Source organism: Homo sapiens, chromosome 2 (genome assembly GCF_000001405.40).
Source record: "Homo sapiens chromosome 2, GRCh38.p14 Primary Assembly".
In the NCBI taxonomy this organism is placed as follows: Eukaryota; Metazoa; Chordata; class Mammalia; order Primates; family Hominidae; genus Homo; species Homo sapiens.
The window spans coordinates 183,047,979-183,066,533 of record NC_000002.12 but is presented as its reverse complement, the minus strand read 5'-3'; the positions used below and the strand labels follow the sequence as shown (position 1 = coordinate 183,066,533).

The window sequence follows — 18,555 nt, the reverse complement described above, 5'->3', positions numbered from 1 at the left end:
CTTTTTAATTTAAAATAATGAAAAGCTGGGAAGAAATATGATCAAATTACTTTAAAGAATCAGGAATAATATGGATAATGTGAACGAAGTTAATAAAATCCTAGGATATTAAAAATAATAGGGAACATGTTTTGAAGTTTAAAAGAAGTACTTTTATGTCAACTAAAAGGATATGGTGGGTAATGAAGTTATTGAATGCATTGTCTTATGTACTGGTAGAGACAGCAACAGAATAGTATCCAACAAGCTGAGAAGATGTTTGGATTATACATCAACTAAGGAAAGCATCCCTATTTCTGGATTTGTAATTGATGAATTAGAAAGCTATAGCACTGTCCCTCAAAATTTATTGTAGTGTCAGTATTATTTAGAATAATCAACTGGTCCAATACAATATGACATGTCTCTTTTTTAATCTTGAATCCTTTCTTTTTCAATTGAGTCAGGAGTCCCCTGTAACTTTTTTCTTGGAAATGTTCCTAAAAACCTGTATATTTTCCTGGAGCTATTTATGTAGATATTTTATAAGGATGAATAGTTAAATGCTAGAAGCACTAGAGCTATACATAAAGGTGAAACGCTAACTCTTTTCAAACAATGGTTATTTAAAGACATATTAATTAACCTGGATGAGGCTATGTAGAGTGAAAAGATGTTTTTTCTGATTTCTGAGGGGTCTCTCATTCTACATTAAAAATCTTTTACTTCCTGAGACAGATTTAAAAGATTAAGATTTTAAAACTTTATATGTATTTTTAAAGGCGTGGATCTAATTATTAATACATTGATAAATAATATTTCATTTGAGAATAAGCCATATTAGATGGACAAATTTGGGGGAAAAACTTCACAAGTTATTCAGTACTGAAATTCTAGAAGGCAGTGTGATAAGAGTACTAAAATGAAAGCAAATCAAGGTTATATAATCAGCTTTTTTGCTGACCTACGTTTTGTATTTTGTTGATTTTATCTCTAAAACTACATGATGCCTAAGTTTGAAAATGGCAGCAAATACTGAGAAATCATATGTGACTTTTTTTTTTTTTGAGGCAGAGTCTCACTCTGTCACCCAGGCTGGAGTGCAGTTGTGCATCTCTGCTCACTGCAACCTCCGCCTCCCGAGTTCAAGCGATTCTCCCGTCTCAGTCTCCTGAGCTCCTGAGTAGCTGGGATTACAGGCGCGTGACACCACCCCGGGCTAATTTTTGTATTTTTAGTAGAGACAGGGCAGGGTTTCATCATGTTGGCCATTATGGTCTCGAACTCCCAGCCTCAAGTGATCTGCCCACCTCGGCCTCCCAGAGCTCTGGGATTACAGGTGTGAGCCAACCCACTTCGCCCATACATGGCTATTTTTAATGAAAAGATTGTGAAAGATGATTAGTTTTTTTATAGTTGTACTTTTTGTGTACTCTTTAGCTATTATAGGTTGTTTGTTTACTAATCAGATGTGTTAAAATCACTGTCTTAAAAAAGCAGAAAACATGTATTTTGTTTATTTTATGTATATTTCTTGTGATTCTATAAAACAAGTCAAAGTACATGGCTTACTTTAAAGATGTGTTTAAATACATATGCAGTAATTAGTCTTGAAAAAATTAACTCTGGTGCATGAGAAAAGATTTCTTTTCACACAAGAAAAGAAATAGATGAATGATGGCATGTAGCTTCAAAGCTAAATGTGGCTAAATCATTGGTGTATTTAATCACTTGCATGATGGAGAAAGCATTATTATTATTACTATTATTATTATAGTTATTATTGTTTACACTACTGAATTCAGTACCCTGCGTTGCACCCTATACACAATGAAGCCTTTGAAGTTTCCAAGGAAAATAGAAAAAACTCCAAATTGTGGAGGAAAAAAGATTTCTTATTGACTAGTTCAATTATTCAAAAGAATTGTTATTATGATGTTTTGCATTTGATTTAAAACGATGGGGGAAGGAGGGTTGTAAACCAAACAGAATAAGCCATATGTTGATAAGTATTGAAGCTGGGTGACGGATACCTGGGAGAGGGCTTAATTTTACTATCCTTTCATTTTTTGTTTGAAAATTTGAAAACATCCATTATAAAATGTAAAGAAAAAGGTAAAAATATTAAAGCAAATTAACTTTATCAGAATATATGCCTTTGTGATCTCGGCAAGTGATCACTGAAATGTTAAAACCTTTATTTTCTTTGCAGACTCCCTCAGCATCCAGCGGGTGCTTTTTCGGTCTGCCAGTGAGCATTCCATGGTGCTGTGACCATTTTGACCTCTCTAGGGTGATGCAGCTGCCTGGGGACACAGAGGGTAAAAAATTCCTGAAGAAAAAGAAAAGTCCAAGTGGAAAAAGGAAACAAGGCCAGGCGCAGTGGTTCATGCCTGTAATCCCAGCACTTTGGGAGGCCGAGGCGGGTGGATCATGAGGTCAGGTGATTGAGACCATCCTGGTGGCTAACAGGGTGAAACCCCGTAAAAATACAAAAAATTAGCGGGGCATGGTGGGGAGCACCTGTAGTCCCAGCTACTTGGGAGGCTGAGGCAGGAGAATCATTTGAACCCGGGAAGCGGGGAGGTTGCAGTGAGCCAAGATCGCGCCACTGCACTCCAGCCTGGGAGACAGAGTGAGACTCTGCCTCAAAAAAAAAAAAAAAAAAAAAAAAAAAAAGGGAAACAAAAGAAAGAAGGAAGGAAGGAGGGAAGGAAGGGGAAGGGAAGGAAGGAAGGAAGGAAGGAAGGAAGAAAAAGAAAGAAAGAAAGAAAGAAAGAAAGAAAGAAAGAAAGAAAGAGGGAAAGAAAGAAAGAAAAAAAGAGAAAGTACTTAATTAGCCAGAGAGGGAGAGAGAAACTAGGTAAATACCTATGCCCAATATTGAGTGCTTTGGGAAAAATAACTCAAGAACTTTTTGTAATATTTTCTGAGTTTGTTTTTTACTTTTTTTGTATTTCTACTTTAAGAAGCAGTGATGTCTAAGAAACATGCTCTCATTTATTTTACTTGTTAAGTATGTTGTTACTCTTTAAACTTGATTCAGACTACTTTATGGTGTTTTTAAAAAGTGGTTTTTATATCATCATACAATATTACATTTTAAAATGTCTAAGATGTGCAGGCCCTTCCACCACCAAATGTCAGCACTACATGGAATTTTATTATTATTTTACAAAAAGAGGAACAACATAACTTTATTGTGCATGTGTTCACGAGCTCTTGTGCATCTGTGTGTAATAATATAGCTATTTATGTCTTAGCATGGATGACTCTAACTTGCAAGCTGTAGAGTCACACAACGTGTGCTCATCTCCATGGTAACCATTTCTAAGATAAATGCACTTCTGAACAATGGTCCCAAAATAGCCTATTACCCATTTTTGTAGATTTCCACTGTGGCAGCAAAAAACAATTTTGTAAAACCTTGATCCATTCTTTAACCAACAAAAATAGAGACAACAAACACATATCCAGATCTGCAGAGAAAATATTGTTAAGTGTAATGACATTTTCTACAACAAACTCAGGATTTCGTGGATCTGATTTTTATTTTATGAATTATCTATACTTAATGTCTCTCCTGCAACTTTTTGACTTCCTACATTTAGCTATTTATCTGTTCTGAGATTTCTTTTCTTTTTTTTCTTTTTTTCTGAGACAGGGTCTCACTGTCACCCAGGCTGGAGTGCAGTGGCAAGATCATAGCTCATAGCAACCTTGAATTCCCAGGCTCAAGGGATTCTCCTGCCTCAGCCTCCTAAATAACTGGGACTATAGGTGCACACGACTGTGCCTGGCAAATTTCTTTTTTTTTTTTAATTTTTAGAGATGGGGGTGTTACTATGTTGCCCAGTCTGGTCTCCAACTCCTGGGCTTATGATCCTTTTATCTTGGCCTCCCAAAGCATTGAGATTATAGGTGTGAGCCACCTTGTCAGGCCTGAGATTTCTTATCTGTAAAATGAAGGGGAAGAAATTATCTCCAAGGACTTTTTTAGGTCTAAACTTATGATTTTATGATTTCTCCACTCAAACCATTATGAGAAGGGAAGCAGGGGAAATAAAAACAACTGAAACTTAAGTTAGGCAATCTTTGCCCCTTGTTAGGTTAAATAAAAGAGACTTTTAAAACTATTTACCGGGCCGGGCATGGTGGCTCACGCCTGTAATCCCAGCACTTTGGGAGGCCGAGGTCGGTGGATCGACTGAGGCCAGGAGTTCGAGACCAGCCTGGCCAACATGGTGAAAATCCCCCGTCTCTACTAAAAATACAGAATTAGTTGTGTGTGGTGGCACATGCCTGTAATCCTAGCTACTCAGGAGGCTGAGGCAGGAGAATCGCTTAAACCCGGGAGGCAGACGTGGCAGTGAACCGAGATCGCTCCATTGCACTCCAGCCCGGGTGAAAAGAGTGGGACTTCATCTCAAAAAAAAAAAAAAAAAAAAAAAAAAAAAAAAAAAAAAAAAAAACAAATAAAACTATTTACCATCACAACTGGATTGCATTCCCATAAATTCCAAATAATTTAGTCTTTTTTTCCTATTAAAGTTGACAGCATTTTCTTAAAGTTTAGAATATCTTAATTTTCCCAGTGAGAATAGATTGAAAAGTGTTCTCACAATGGGGAAAACCACTTTCTGTAATTTTAAAGATGCTCATCCTTCACATACCCCTCCACATTGGCTCTGCTGGGGTTTTGATGTCAGACTCCTCTAAGAAAGCAGGAAAGCCTTTGTGAACCTCAAATGAACAGGGGCAGAATAGATGTCAATGAAGAGAATGGTAAAAAGCAGAGCTGATTCTACCCAGCCCTCTTCAGCTCCTGGGAAATGGAAAGCTGACTACTTGGGTTTGGTAGCTCTACCACTCCCCCTAACACTGCAACTCCCAGTGCCATTAAATTATCTATGTTCCAAGATTTAGAGGGATAGGGAGAAGATAGGCCCTTTTTTTAAAAAATTTTATTTTATTATTATTATTATTATTATTATTATTAATTATTTTGAGACGGAGTCTTGCTCTGTCTCCAGGCTGGAGTGCAGTGGCGCTATCTCAGCTCACTGCAATCTCTGCCTCCCAGGTTCAAGTGATTCCCCTGCCTCAGCCTCCTGAGTAGCTGGGACTACAGGTGTGCACCACCACACCCGGCTAATGTGTTGTATTATTAGTAAAGACAGGGTTTCACCATGTTGGCCAGGATGGTCTTGATCTCCTGACCTCATAATCTGCCCACCTCAGCCTCCCAAAGCACTGGGATTACAGGCGTGAGCCACCACGCCCAGCCCCTTTATTTTTATAAGGGTAAACCTTTTTTCAGAGCAGGCTTTGGCAGAATTGTGACACCATCTTTTTCCTTTGAAAGCAATCCTTATTGACCGCCCAACTCTGAGCACATTTCTTTGAAATGGTTTCCTGCCTTTGGAGTGCCACATCTTCTCTCACAGCATTCCTGAATGCTGATAAGTTCTCTCCTTCTGCTCTCTTCAGGGAAGGAGAATGTTATGCCTGTCCGTGTAAGAGACCACCTGAGCAGGCTTAGTGTGAGCAACAAGGCTGTTTATTCACTTGGGTGTAAGTGGGCTGAGTTTGAGAAAGGAATCAGCGAAGGGTGGTGGGATTATCGTTGATTCTTATAGGTTTGGGATAGGCGGTGGAGTCAGGAGCAATTATTTGCGGGCGGGGGATGGATGTTACAAAGTACATTCTCAAGGGCGGTGAGTGTGTATTGTCACAAGCGTGGGGAAGAATGTTACAAAGTACATTCACAAGGTTGGGGAATATCACAAAGTACATTATCACAAGGGCGGGGGAATGTCACGATGGCTCGACCATGGTGCGACCAGCTCAGAGGACCTTACAGAGAACTTCCTCCTTCTCTTATCAGGGCATAGGGAACTTCTTACAGCACATTCTGGCCAGACCAAGACTATCGCTGTTATTCTTTTCCCAACCCCAGACCCCACCAGACCCACCCCTAAACAGACTAACTCCTCTTACACCTTCCTCCTCAATACAAGGCTGCCTACTGACCTAATCCGTGCTAACAAAGGGAAAGGGGGGTCTGGAGCATTTGCATCTACCTTTTGGACGTAAGTATATTTAAAAAGCCACCCTCTGCAGTCAGTGCCACTACATTTTTTGGCTAAAGCAAAGAATGTTGGGGACTTTAAAACAGTAGAGCAGCACCATAGAATGCCTATGAATGGGATGGTTTAGGCAATGGGCTCTTCAGTGCATGGTTTCCATCAAAGTGCCACAGAAGATGTAAAACAGCTCAAGTGCAACTTTATTTTGGTTCCCATAAATTAGTCTGGATTTTGTACCTCAAATGTCCAACCCAATCAGTCATTGTCCACAGGCCAAGTGGGACTTGAGATCACTATGCCTGTCTTGTCCTGATCCCTTGTCAGACCAAGAACGGATATACCTCTCAGAAGGCCCATTTGTCTGAATTACATAATCTTTTTGGTTATGACCCTAGAACACTTTAAAGAGGCAGATATACATTACTAAGACCTGCCTACCTACATTTTCTTTCATTGGCATATAATTCCTACGAAATTTCTTGGTGTAGGTTTACTATATAACTCCTGTAACTCTTTCCTACTATGAGAATTTAGATTGTGTCTGATCTATGTTATTATTAAAAGCATTTCTGTAATCCCTGGGTGAGTATTACTGTTGACAAGACAGGTAGCACAAGTCCTGGTAGCTTCATGCCTGCCAGTTCTTAAAGAAGAGCAAATTACTTAGAAGAAAAACAAAGTGATTCATTCAGTAAGTGGTTGATTTTTCTCTCTTTCCACATGGTGACTCAGCAAAATGAAAGCATTGGGTACATTCTTACTTCTCGAAGAAACCAGGATTTAGGAAGCACTACTCATATAATTATGATATCACATGCTGTTAGCTTAAGTTCAGTTTGATAGACATGTTTTACCCCTTGGTTTGGCTATTGCCAAGAGTGTCACTTTGATATTTGTTCTTACCATCTCTTCTTTTTAAAATGTTGATAAAAATTACCATTAAGAAATGTGAAAATGTCTAGCTTTCAACACCTGTAGTCCCAACTATTTGGGAGACTGAGGAGGGAGGACTGCTTCTGGCTAGGAATTCAAGGCTACAGTGAGCCTGTGAATAGCTGGTGTATTCCAGACTGGGCAACATAGCAAGGCCCTGTCTTTAAAAAAAAAAAAAAAAAAAAAAATTGGCCGGGCGTGGTGGCTCACGCCTGTAATCTCAGCACTTTGGGAGACCGAGGCAGGCAGATCACAAGGTCAGGAGTTCGAGACCAGCCTGACCAACATGGTGAAACCACATCTTTACTAAAAATACAAAAATTAGCTGGGCATGGTGGCGTGCACCTGTAATCCCAGCTGCTCAGGAGGCTGAGGCAGGGAAATCGCTTTAACCCGGGAGGCGGAGGTTGCAGTGAGCCGAGATCTCACCACTGCACTCTAGCCACTGCACTCCAACCAGGGCGACAGAGCAAGACTTCGTATCAAAAAACAAAAAAAAAATTGTGCTGGGAGTGGTGCTGTGCGTTTGTAGTCCCAGCTACTCTGGAAGCTGAGGCACTAGCATCTCTTGAACCTGGCAAGTGGAGGTTGCAGTGAGCTGAGATCACACCACTGCACCCCAATTTGGAGGACAGAGCGAGATTCTGTCTCAAAACAAAAAAAAAAGAAAACAAAAAGAGTTTCTATTATATTATTTTTTATTCTAATGTATTATTTTAGCATAAATAAGAGTTCTGGTTTAGATTACGGACAAAACCTTTACATTCAGGTTTGGAAAAATGTCATTAAGTGTCAAAGCTGGGTGATCATTACATGGGAAGTTAATATACTCCTCTATTTACTCTTTTCATGTTTGAAATTCTCTGTAATAAAAATGTTTTTTTTGTTTGTTTGTGTTTTTGACTGCAAGTTCTGCCTCCCGGGTTCACGCCATTCTCCTGCCTCAGCCTCCCGAGTAGCTGGGACTACAGGCACCTGCCACCACGCCCGGCTAATTTTTTGTATTTTTAGTAGAGACGAGATTTCACATAAAACGTTTTTTAAAAGCCCAGATGCAATGGCTCATGCCTGCAATCTCAGCACTTTGGGAGGCCGAGGTGGGCAGCTCACCTGAGGTCAGGAGTTTGAGACCAGCCTGGCCATCTCAAACCCGCCCCTATTAAAAATACAAAAATTAGCCAGGCAGGGTGGTGCAGGTGCCTGTAGTCCCAGCTAGTTGGGAAGCTGCAGCAGGAGAATTGTTCGAAACCAGGAGGTGGAGGTTGCAGTGAGCACAGATCGTGCCACTGCACTCCAGCCTGGGAGACAGAGGCAGCCTCCGTCTCAAAACAAAACAAAACAAATCAAAATTAAAAAAAAAAAAAACCCTTCCCACTAAAGGTAGGAATACCTCTTGAAATGAAAAGGACATAAGAGAAAAAGAAACAATTTCACATGAATTAAGCTAATCTGTCTCCCATGAAGAGAAGGAAAAAAATTCCTTATTTCTAGTACAGTGTTTGATTATATTTTCACATGACCTCATTCCACAAAAAATCTGAGGCAGTTTAACTAACTCTGATAATTGTAGTCAAGTCCATTGCTTTGTGTCAAGCTGATATTTAACATTAAATAATGATGGTGGTGGTGGTGGTGGTGATATTTACCTTATATTAACTTTTTTCTCACAAAAACAAAAGCAGTATGAAACAGATGCCAGTTGTACATCCGTGGAATGGGAGTTTGCCAGCTAGCACTGAAATCAAGAGAAGAGGTATTTTGCCAACGAGAGAATATTGTCAACACTCAAAGACATTAATGTCTAGGTATTTGAACGCTGAACCAATACCAAATATTTTTAGAACCTGTTGCTTCTTTCATTTTTGTGACCCTTTCACATATCTTATGCTTCTTCTTCATGTTAAGTTTTACTTCTTAGGAACAGGGTATGGTATGAATAGGGTGTAGCAGCAACAGATTTCCAAATGTGCTATTTTACACAGAGCAGTCTTGAAAGCTGAAAAGCTGGCTGGGCCTACATTAGCAGCCAGTTTCTGAGACTAAATTTACAATATTTCTGCAATCATTCTGAGGCAGACTAACTATGGCTTATGTAATGTGCAGAAGCCACAGGATTTCTTTAAAACACTGTACATTTCATTAAGGAAACATCCAACCCTTTATTACTTATAACAATAAGAAAAAGGGATATGTAGACAAATGATAACTTGCAGACCATTAAAAGACTTTTTGGTAATCAGCAGTTTCCATTTCTTCTTTTATACAAAACTGTTTAGTTAAGGTGTTCAAATGAAAGCAAAACAAAACAATTTGAGTCTCATGTTTTCAGTTCTCCTTCCCACCCTCTGTTGGAGGTGCCAAAGGTCTTGGCAGCCAGAGGGAGGCAGATAAAGAGAGAACTTGAGTAAATGATCTACAGTGGAATATTTAGTCCTGATAAAATGTTGATAACAGAGGCTACCCTATTACTGTCATGGAAAGATTGCCATAGGGTAATGCATTGAACTCATTAGGAAAGAGGCTCTTTTACAGATCCAGATGACATTCTAAAAAGCTTTAGGTTTTTTTGTTTGTTTGTTTTGAGATGGAGTCTCACTCTGTCTCCCTGGGTGGAGTGCAGTGGCGTGATCTCTGCTCCCTGCAACCTCCACCTCCCAGGTTCAAGCAATCCTCATGTCTCAGCCTCCTGAGTAGCTGGATTACTGGTGCCCGCTACCATGCCCAGCTAATTTTTGTATTTTTAGTAGAGACATGGTTTTACCATGTTGGCCAGGCTGGTCTCAAACTCCTGACCTCGGGTGATCCACCCGCCTCAGCCTCCCAAAGTGCTGGCATTACAGGCATGAGCCACCGCCCCCGGCATAGAAAGTTTTCTTTTTAACATTTATGCCAGGTTAAACCCGGATGCTTAGCACATGATTACCAGGGTATACAATCGCTCCTGTTATGCCATTTTTGATAGACTCATTACAATGCATAGTGGTTTCAAATCTAGGGTCTCTGGAGCTTTATATGGTCTTAACGAAACCATAAACTATTTAAAATTGTACTACAATATTTGTATATATTTTATGGATAGGATGACCAGCTTCAGCAGGGGGATCCATTACTCAAAGCTAATTAGAGGCCAGGTGCAGTGGCTCACGCCTGTAATCCCAGCACTTTGGGAGGCCGAGGCAGGTGGATCACGAGGTCAAGAGATCTCGAGACCATCCTGGCCAACATGGTGAAACCCTGTCTCTACTAAAAATACAAAAAATTAGCTGCGAGTGGTGGCACATGCCTATAGTCCCAGCTACTTGGGAGGCTGAGGCAGGGGAATTGTTTGAACCCGGGAGATGGAGATTGCAGTGAGCTGAGATCGCGCCACTGCCCTCCAGCTTGGTGACAGAGCAAGACTCTGTCAAAAAAAAAAAAAAAAAAAAAAAAAAGCTAATTAGAAACCTTGTAACCAAAAATTAATTTGGCCAACACCAGCATAAAGAAAAAATGATTTCAGCTTTGTTTTTATTTCTTCTTTGACTCCATGGGGAAAATGAATAAAGATGAGTGGCTCACTTCATTCCTTTATTCTGATTCAATTCACAGGCTTTAAGTCTTTCACTGTCTTTTAAAACAGGAGGGTGCTCTAAGCTAATTCTGTTATTTCCAGAATTGCACATCCAAAGTTCTCTTCTGATGTTTGGAAGTCCCATAGTCTGTAATGTAGTAGCAGGTGCATTTTTAGCCAATGTATTATATAACAGAACTACTAGCACTTTTGGCTAATATATTAGATAACATATTTTTATTTAAATCAACTTACAAATGTTTTCTGCTCAAGTAAAACAATTCTATAATTAAAATGTGACATAAGAAAGTATACATACATATGTAATGCTAAAGTTTGCTTTAATGTGTTCCTAATATTTTACATGTAGAATCAACTATATAAATAAATTGGACACTAATTAGGAAATGTGGGTTTCCTCTCTTCACAAACTAAAAGTAAATTGTTCATCCTTTCATTTCAAATATAGCACAAATGAAGACCATTGGGAATATAAGAAATGTAAAAAGTAGTTGTAGAAAATGTGAATAAACTCTGATTCTAAAGGTTTGTGCAAAGAGTAATGAGTTGAAGCAATTAAAAATAATCTATGAAATGGTAAAACTTTAATGTGCAAACAATCCAGGTGGGGCAGTGTATGTTCACAGTTTTAAAGAAAAACATGATTTTATAGTAGCAGCTTAGTTTGTATGACTGTACTTAAGTAACACTGGCTTTTTTTTTTTTTTTTTTTCAGACAGGGTCTCACTTTGTCACCTAGGGTGAAGTGCAGTGGTGCGATCTCAGCTCACTGCAGTCCCTACCTCCCAGGCTGAAGCTATTCTCCCACCTCAGCCTCCCAGGTAGCTGGGACCATGGGCACATGCCACCACGCCCAGCTAATTTTTTCTTTTGTATTTTTAATAGAGACAATCTTTCACCATGTTGCCCAGGATGGTCTCAAACTCCTGAGCTCAGGCAATCTGCCCAACTCGACCTCCCAAAGTGCTGGCATTACAGGTGTGAGCCACTGTACCTGGTCAGAATTTAAATTTTTTAAATTATTGTTATTATTCTTTTGTAGAGAGGGGATCTTGTTATGTTGCCCAAGCTGGTCTCGAACCCCTGGCCTCATGTGATCCTTCTGCCTCTGCCTCACAAAGAGTTGGGATTGCAGGTGTGAGCCACTGCACTTGGCCTGGATTTTAATTTAAGTGGGACTACAAAGTTGAATTTAAACATCAGTGAACAACTGACTTATTGTAAACATTTAGATTTCAGCAATGTCTTACTGGGGAAAATAATCTTATAATGAGTTTATAATACTTTAACATAGTATATATTTTTATAATAAGAAAAAAAATGTCCTTAACATTTGCACATAATCAAGGCTTAGAAGTATAACGATTATGGTGTGTACTTAATGTGAAATGGTGAAAACGTCATTTTTGGAAGTTATTACTTTGAAATAGGAGTTTGTCAAGCACAGCAATTTAATACAATTAGGTAGATTTTTAATTCTGTTTTGGTTGAATGCTAAAACACAATGTGTTGGCTATTTAAAGTAGACCATTATTCTCTAGTCACTACTCTCATTTCTTTGCCACTCTCTCCCTCCATTACACTCATGTAAAAAAAGAAAAATCCATAACCCTCTATCTTCTCTGGGCCTGAAGCCATGTACTAACATAGAAAATCACAAAACTGGGCAGAGTGGAGTGATAATAATAATAACAATAACTTTAAGAGTAGTAATAAAAGGCAACATTTATAGCTAGTATAACCACATATGAGACAATGCTAAAAATAATCTCATATATTCCTCATGACAATCTAGTGAGGTAGGTACAATTATCCCCATTTATGGTGAAAATCTGAGGATTAGAGAGCTTTATTCATATGTCCAAGGTCACACTACTGTAAGTAGCAAAGCCAGGTTTTCAACTCTGTTAATCTGACCCCAGACTCTAGGCTTTTTTACTGCTAACCATTTAAGTGCATGACACCAAGCACAAATGAATATTTAACATTTTCTGATGTATGACCTCCCTCTTAGGATTGTGAAATATTTCTATTTCATTGGAGAAATAGAAGATATAAGAAAATGGGAAATTCTCATCTTCTCAAAACCAATTCTACTGACCTACATCAGTGCACTCCAGTGGAGCTCTTCCCCTTACCAGCTGTGACCTTAGACACTCATCTGTTTAATAGGAATGATTATGGGTACCTACTTTGTTGGGAACAGGCCCCCCAAAATCTGGCCATAAACTGGCCCCAAAACTGGCCGTAAACAAAATCTTTTCAGCACTGTGACATATTCATGATGGCCATGACGCCCATGCTGGAAGGTTGTGGGTTTACCGGAATGAGGGCAAGAAACACCTGGCATACCCAGGGCAGAAAACCATTTAAAGGCATTCTTAAACCACAAACAATAGCATGAGCAATCTATGCCTTAAGGACATTCTCCTGCTGCAGATAACTAGCTAAACCCATCCTTTTATTTTGACCCATCCCTTTGTTTCCTGTAAGGAATACTTTTAGTTAATCTATAATCTATAAAAACAATGCTTATCACTGACTTGCTGTCAATAAATACATGGGTAAATCTCTGTTCGAAGCTCTCAGCTCTGAAGGCTGTGAGATCCCTGATTTCCCACTCCACACCTCTATATTTCTGTGCGTGTGTCTTTAATTCCTCTAGCACCACTGGGTTAGTGTCTCCCTGACCAAGCTGGTCTCGGCAAGCAGCGCCCATACGTGGGGGCTCGAATCCAGGTCGAAGGATCACCAGAGCGACAGTTGGAGAACGTGGAACTAAGCTGGAGGACACCCGAGTACTCTTAAAGCAGTCCCCATGGTCAGTAAGAAGGGGAGCTCGGAGGCATCAAGGTAACAATGGGACAAGGGTGGACTCTGGTTCATTCCACCTTGGAACCTTTTCACACTGATGATGAGGAGGAAGGGGAGTATAACGAAGTAACAGAAGAGGTTACAGAGCAGGTTTGTTTGCCAGCTAAAGCTAAAGCGGCAAAGGAGGGAGAGGTTCATCCTTACCCTTCTGCACTCCATCCTTATTTTGAAGAAAAAGAGTGGCCTGACCCTCCAGATGCTTCTTTTCCAGAGGACACTGGGTGAAAAGTAGTTGCCCCAATGACTGAGCAGCGCCTCCAGCGACCGCTCTCAGTTCTATTCAGGTGGGAATCCAGCAAGCTAGAAGAGAGGGTGATATAGAGGCTTGGCAGTTCCCTGTTAGAATACACCCCCCAGATCAACAGGGGAATATTATAGCTACGTTTGAGCCTTTTCCTTTTAAATTCGGGAAATGCCATGAGGGGCCCGTCCCAGGCCCCATTCCAAACCAGGGCATTTCCGGCTCAGGCCATTCCCTCACCCCTGTACAATGTCTGTCCCCCGCCACAGCCAGTAGTGCCACAGTAGATTTATGCTGCACAAAACCTGTGAGCCTTCTGCCTGGGGAACCCCCACAAAAGGTCCCAACAGGAGTCTGTGGACCCTTGCCAGCGGGGATGATAGGATTACTTCTAGGAACGTCTAGTTTAAATTTAAAAGGGGTACAAATACAAACAGGAGTCAATGATTCAGATTACAATGGGGAAATTCAAATTGTTATATCTACTTCTGTTCCCTGGAAAGCAGAGCCAGGAGAACGTATAGCACAGCTCCTGATTGTGCCATATGTGGAAATAGGGAAAAATGAAATTAAACTAACAGGAGGGTTTGGAAGCACAAATAAACAAGGCAAAGCAGCTTATTGGGTAAATCAAATTACTGATGAACGTCCTACCTGTGAAATAACTATTCAGGGAAAGAAATTTAAAGTTTTGGTAGATACAGGAGCAGACATTTCAGTCATTTCTCTACAGCACTGGTCATCCACGTGGCCCATTCAACCTGCTCAATTTAACATAGTTGGAGTTGGTAAAGCCCCTGAAGTATATCAAAGTAGTTATATTTTGCAATGTGAAGGACCTGATGGACGACCTGGGACTATTCAACCAATTATAACTTCTGTACCTATAAATTTATGGGGGAGAGATTTATTACAAGAATGGGGAGCACAAGTTCTAATTCCAGAGCAATTATCCGATGGAGAGATTCCGGGAGAAATCCGAGGACCCCCCAGTTGCAGCCATGTAAAGGCTGACACTAAGGAGGACCCCAACTGTCATGAGCAACACCCGTCGAACACAGCCACCCACCTGGGGACAGATGAAGAAACTGTCACAGATGGCAGAAGAAAACCTGAGGAAAGCAGGACAACCAGTCACAATGAGTAATTTAATGGTAGCTATGATAGCGGTGATCACCATTGCTGTGTTTATTCCTTCGACAAGGGCTGACACAGAGAAAAATTATACTTATTGGGCATATTTATCAATCTTGGCTGGCAATAATGCCTGGATGTAATCACTCTATGACACAGTTACACATGCTTTCTGGTCTCAGTATGTACCATAATAAATCTGCTCCTATAATTGAGGGATACCGTCCTCAAAAACCTATTTGTAAACAGGATTGGACCCAGTCAGAAAAAATGAATGTACTTGTTTAGGAAGACTGCATTGCAGAACAGGCAGAGGTGCTGCGCAATGATTCCTATGGAATCATTATTGATTGGTCCCCTAAGGGGATGTTTAGCTTGAATCGCACCTCTCAGTCTGTGTGCCACGGTCACACTATGTTCAGCTGGTCTGAACAAAACGGTCAGATGGCAGAAATGATAAGAAGTACGCAAGAGTTCCTATATCTGGAATCATGGCGGTATAGTGGTACCTTAACCTCAAATGATATGGCCCATTATAGGAGCTACACATAAGGATTTGTGGAAATTATTAATAGCTGTTAATAGGATTAAAATTTGGGAAAGAATAAAAAAGCATCTAGAAGGACACTCTACAAACTTGTCTTTGGATATTGCAAAATTAAAAGAAAAAATATTTAAAGCATCCCAGGCACACCTGACCTTAATGCCAGGAACTAGAGTGCTTGAAGGAGTTGCAGACAGATTAGAAGCTAGTAACCCATTAAAATGGATAAAAACTCTTAGAAGCTCTGTGATTTCAATGATTGTGCTTTTAATCTGTGTTATTTGTCTTTGTATAGCCTGCAGATGCAGATCCTGATTCCCGCAAGAAGTAGCTAACTGTGACAAAGCTGCTTTTGCTTTTATCGCTTTGCAAATCAAAGAAGGAGGACATGTTGGGAGCAGGCCCCCCAAAATCTGGCCATAAACTGGCCCCAAAACTGGCCATAAACAAAATCTCTGCAGCACTGTGACATTTTCAAGGTAGCCATGATGGCCACGCTGGAAGGTTGTGGGTTTACCAGAATGAGGGCAAGGAACACTGGCCCACCCAGGGTGGAAAACTGCTTAAAGGCGTTCTTAAAGCACAAACAATAGCATGAATGATCTGTGCCTTCAGGACATGCTCCTGCTGGAGATAACTAGCCAAACTCATCCTTTTATTTTGACCCATCCCTTTGTTTCCCATAAGGAATACTTTTAGTTAATCTATAATCTATAAAAACAATGCTTATCACTGACTTCCTATCAATAAATATGTGGGTAAATCTCTGTTCAAGGCTCTCAGCTCTGAAGGCTGTGAGTCCCCTGATTTCCCACTCCACACCTCTATATTTCTGTGTGTCTTTAATTCCTCTAGCGTCACTGGGTTAGAGTCTCCCCGACCGAGCTGGTCTCAGCACTACTTTAAGAGTTTGCTATGAAGATGAAACATATTAATACATGTTAAGACACTTGGACAGGACATGACACATTGAAAGTGATCAATAGATGTTAGCTAATATCATATCTTGTCTCCTCCCTGCACTTCCCCCCGAAACCAATCAAAAATCAGTCTGGACATATATCATCTGCTTCCCATCCATCTCTCTTGTTCTATCAGGGCCTCGGCTCCTTTGCTTATTCCTTCTTTCTCTATTGAATCATAAACCTCTCCCTCTCTACTGGATAATCTGGCAACTTTCATTGAAAATAAACAAAAACCTTCCCTTAACCCTCTAGTTACTGCCCATCTCTTGTTCCCTTCACAATCAAAAGTCTCAAAAGGCTTATCTACATATGTTATTTTCACATCCCTTTCTCCCATTCTATACTTAATTAATCTCTTCCATTCTGCTGAAACTATTCTTCTCAAAGTACCAAAAACTTACAGGTTGCCAAATTCAATGAGTACTTTTCTGTTTAGTTTACTTCTTATTCCATTTCTCAGCAGTAGTCAACTGGGTTGACCACATCGTCTTGAAATACTTTCTTCCCCTGGCTCCCGAGATGCCATTTACTTATGATTTGCTTCTACCTCCTTTCACACATGTCCGTGTGAAGAGATCACCAAACAGGCTTTGTGTGAGCAATAAAGCATTTTAATCACCTGGGTGCAGGTGGGCTGAGTCCGAAAAGAGAGTCAGTGAAAGGAGATGGGGTGGAGCTGTTTTACAGGATTTGGGTAGGTAGTGGAAAATTACAGTCAAAGGGGGTTGTTCTCTGGCTGGCAGGGGTGGGCGTCACAAGGTGCTCAGTGGGGGAGCTTTTGAGCCAGGATGAGCCAGGAGAAGGAATTTCACAAGGTAATGTCATCAGTTAAGGCAGGAACCAGCCATTTTCACTTCTTTTGTGATTCTTCACTTGCTTCAGGCCATCTGGATGAATATGTGCAGGCTTGGGCTCAGAGGCCTGACATTCCTGTCTTCTTATATTAATAAGAAAAATAAAACAAAATAGTGTTGAAATGTTGGGGCGGTGAAAATTTTTGGAGGTGGTATGGAGAGATAATGGGCGATGTTTCTCAGGGCTGCTTTGAGCAGGATTATGGGTGGCGTGGGAACCTAGAGTGGGAGAGATTAAGCTGAAGGAAGATTTTGTGGTAAAGGGTGATATTGTGGGGTTGTTAGAAGAAACATTTGTCGTATAGAATGATTGGTGATGGCCTGGATACAGTTTTGCATGAATTGAGAAACTAAACAGAAGATACAAGGTCTAAATAAAAGAAGGAGAAAAATAGGTATTAAAGGACTAAGAATTGGGAGGACCCAGGACATCCAATTAGAGAGTGCCTAAGGGGGTTCAGCGAAATTACTTGCTTGGTTGGTGAGTTTTTGGGAAAAGACCATTAGTCCGTTTTACCTTTCCTGAAGATTGAGGATGGTAAGGGGTATGAAGGTTCCACTGAATACCAAGAGCCTTATAAACTGCTTGGGTGATTTGACTAGTAAAGGCCAGTCTGTTATTGGACTGTATAGAGGTTGGAAGGCCAAACTGAAGAATTATGTCTGACAGAAGGGAAGAAATGACCACAGTGGCCTTCTCAGACCCTGTGGGAAAGGCCTCTCCCATCCAGTGAAAGTGGCTACCCAGACCAAGAGGTATGTTAGTTTCCTGATTCGGGGCATGTGAGTAAAGTCAATTTGCTAGTCCTGGGCAGGGGCAAATCCCCGAGCTTGATGGGTAGGAACGGGAGGAGGCCTGAACAATCCCTGAGGGGTAGTAGAATAACAGATGGAACACTCAGAAGTGATTTCCTTGAGGATAGATTTCCATGATGGAAAGGAAATGAGAGGTTCTAAGAGATGGGCTAGCGGCTTGTAACTTACATGGAAGAGGTTATGATATGACGACAGAATATAATGGGCCTGTGAGGCTGGAAGGAGATATTTTCCTTGGTCCAAGAACTATTTGCCTTGTGTGGGAAGAGACTGATAGGTGGAAGTTTCAGTGGGGGAGTAGGTGGGAGTGACCGATAAGAAGAAGAAAAACTGGCCATGAGGGACAGAAGTTGGAATGCTAGCTGCTTCTTTACCTCCCTTATCAGCATAAGCGTTGCCCAGAGCAATGGGACCTGATGCCTTTTGATGGCCCTTGCAGTGAATGACTCCAGCTTCCTTTGGATGTAAAGCAGCCTTGATGAGAGTTTTTATTAAAGAGGAATTAATGATGGAGGACCCTTGTGTAGAGAGGAAACCCCTTTTTTGCCCATATAA

The 18,555-nt window shown here is 40.6% G+C and overlaps 1 non-coding gene across 1 annotated transcript, besides 2 other annotated features; it reads left to right on the top strand.

Moving 5' to 3' along the window:
• The first annotated feature begins 2,187 nt into the window (after window positions 1–2,187).
• Window positions 2,188–2,299, top strand: LOC124900540 (small nucleolar RNA SNORA77). Its single transcript, XR_007088731.1, has one exon. It is a non-coding gene; the product is annotated as a small nucleolar RNA SNORA77 (small nucleolar RNA).
• Window positions 15,735–16,236: an enhancer, noted in NCBI's record as "NANOG hESC enhancer chr2:183915026-183915527 (GRCh37/hg19 assembly coordinates)". NCBI's record gives its function as "activates a minimal SCP1, AML or CMV promoter by ChIP-STARR-seq in naive H9 embryonic stem cells {active_cell/tissue: H9 hESC(naive)}" and the evidence as "EXISTENCE:reporter gene assay evidence [ECO:0000049][PMID:30033119]".
• Window positions 16,776–17,741: an enhancer, noted in NCBI's record as "NANOG-H3K27ac-H3K4me1 hESC enhancer chr2:183913521-183914486 (GRCh37/hg19 assembly coordinates)". NCBI's record gives its function as "activates a minimal SCP1, AML or CMV promoter by ChIP-STARR-seq in primed H9 embryonic stem cells {active_cell/tissue: H9 hESC(primed)}" and the evidence as "EXISTENCE:reporter gene assay evidence [ECO:0000049][PMID:30033119]".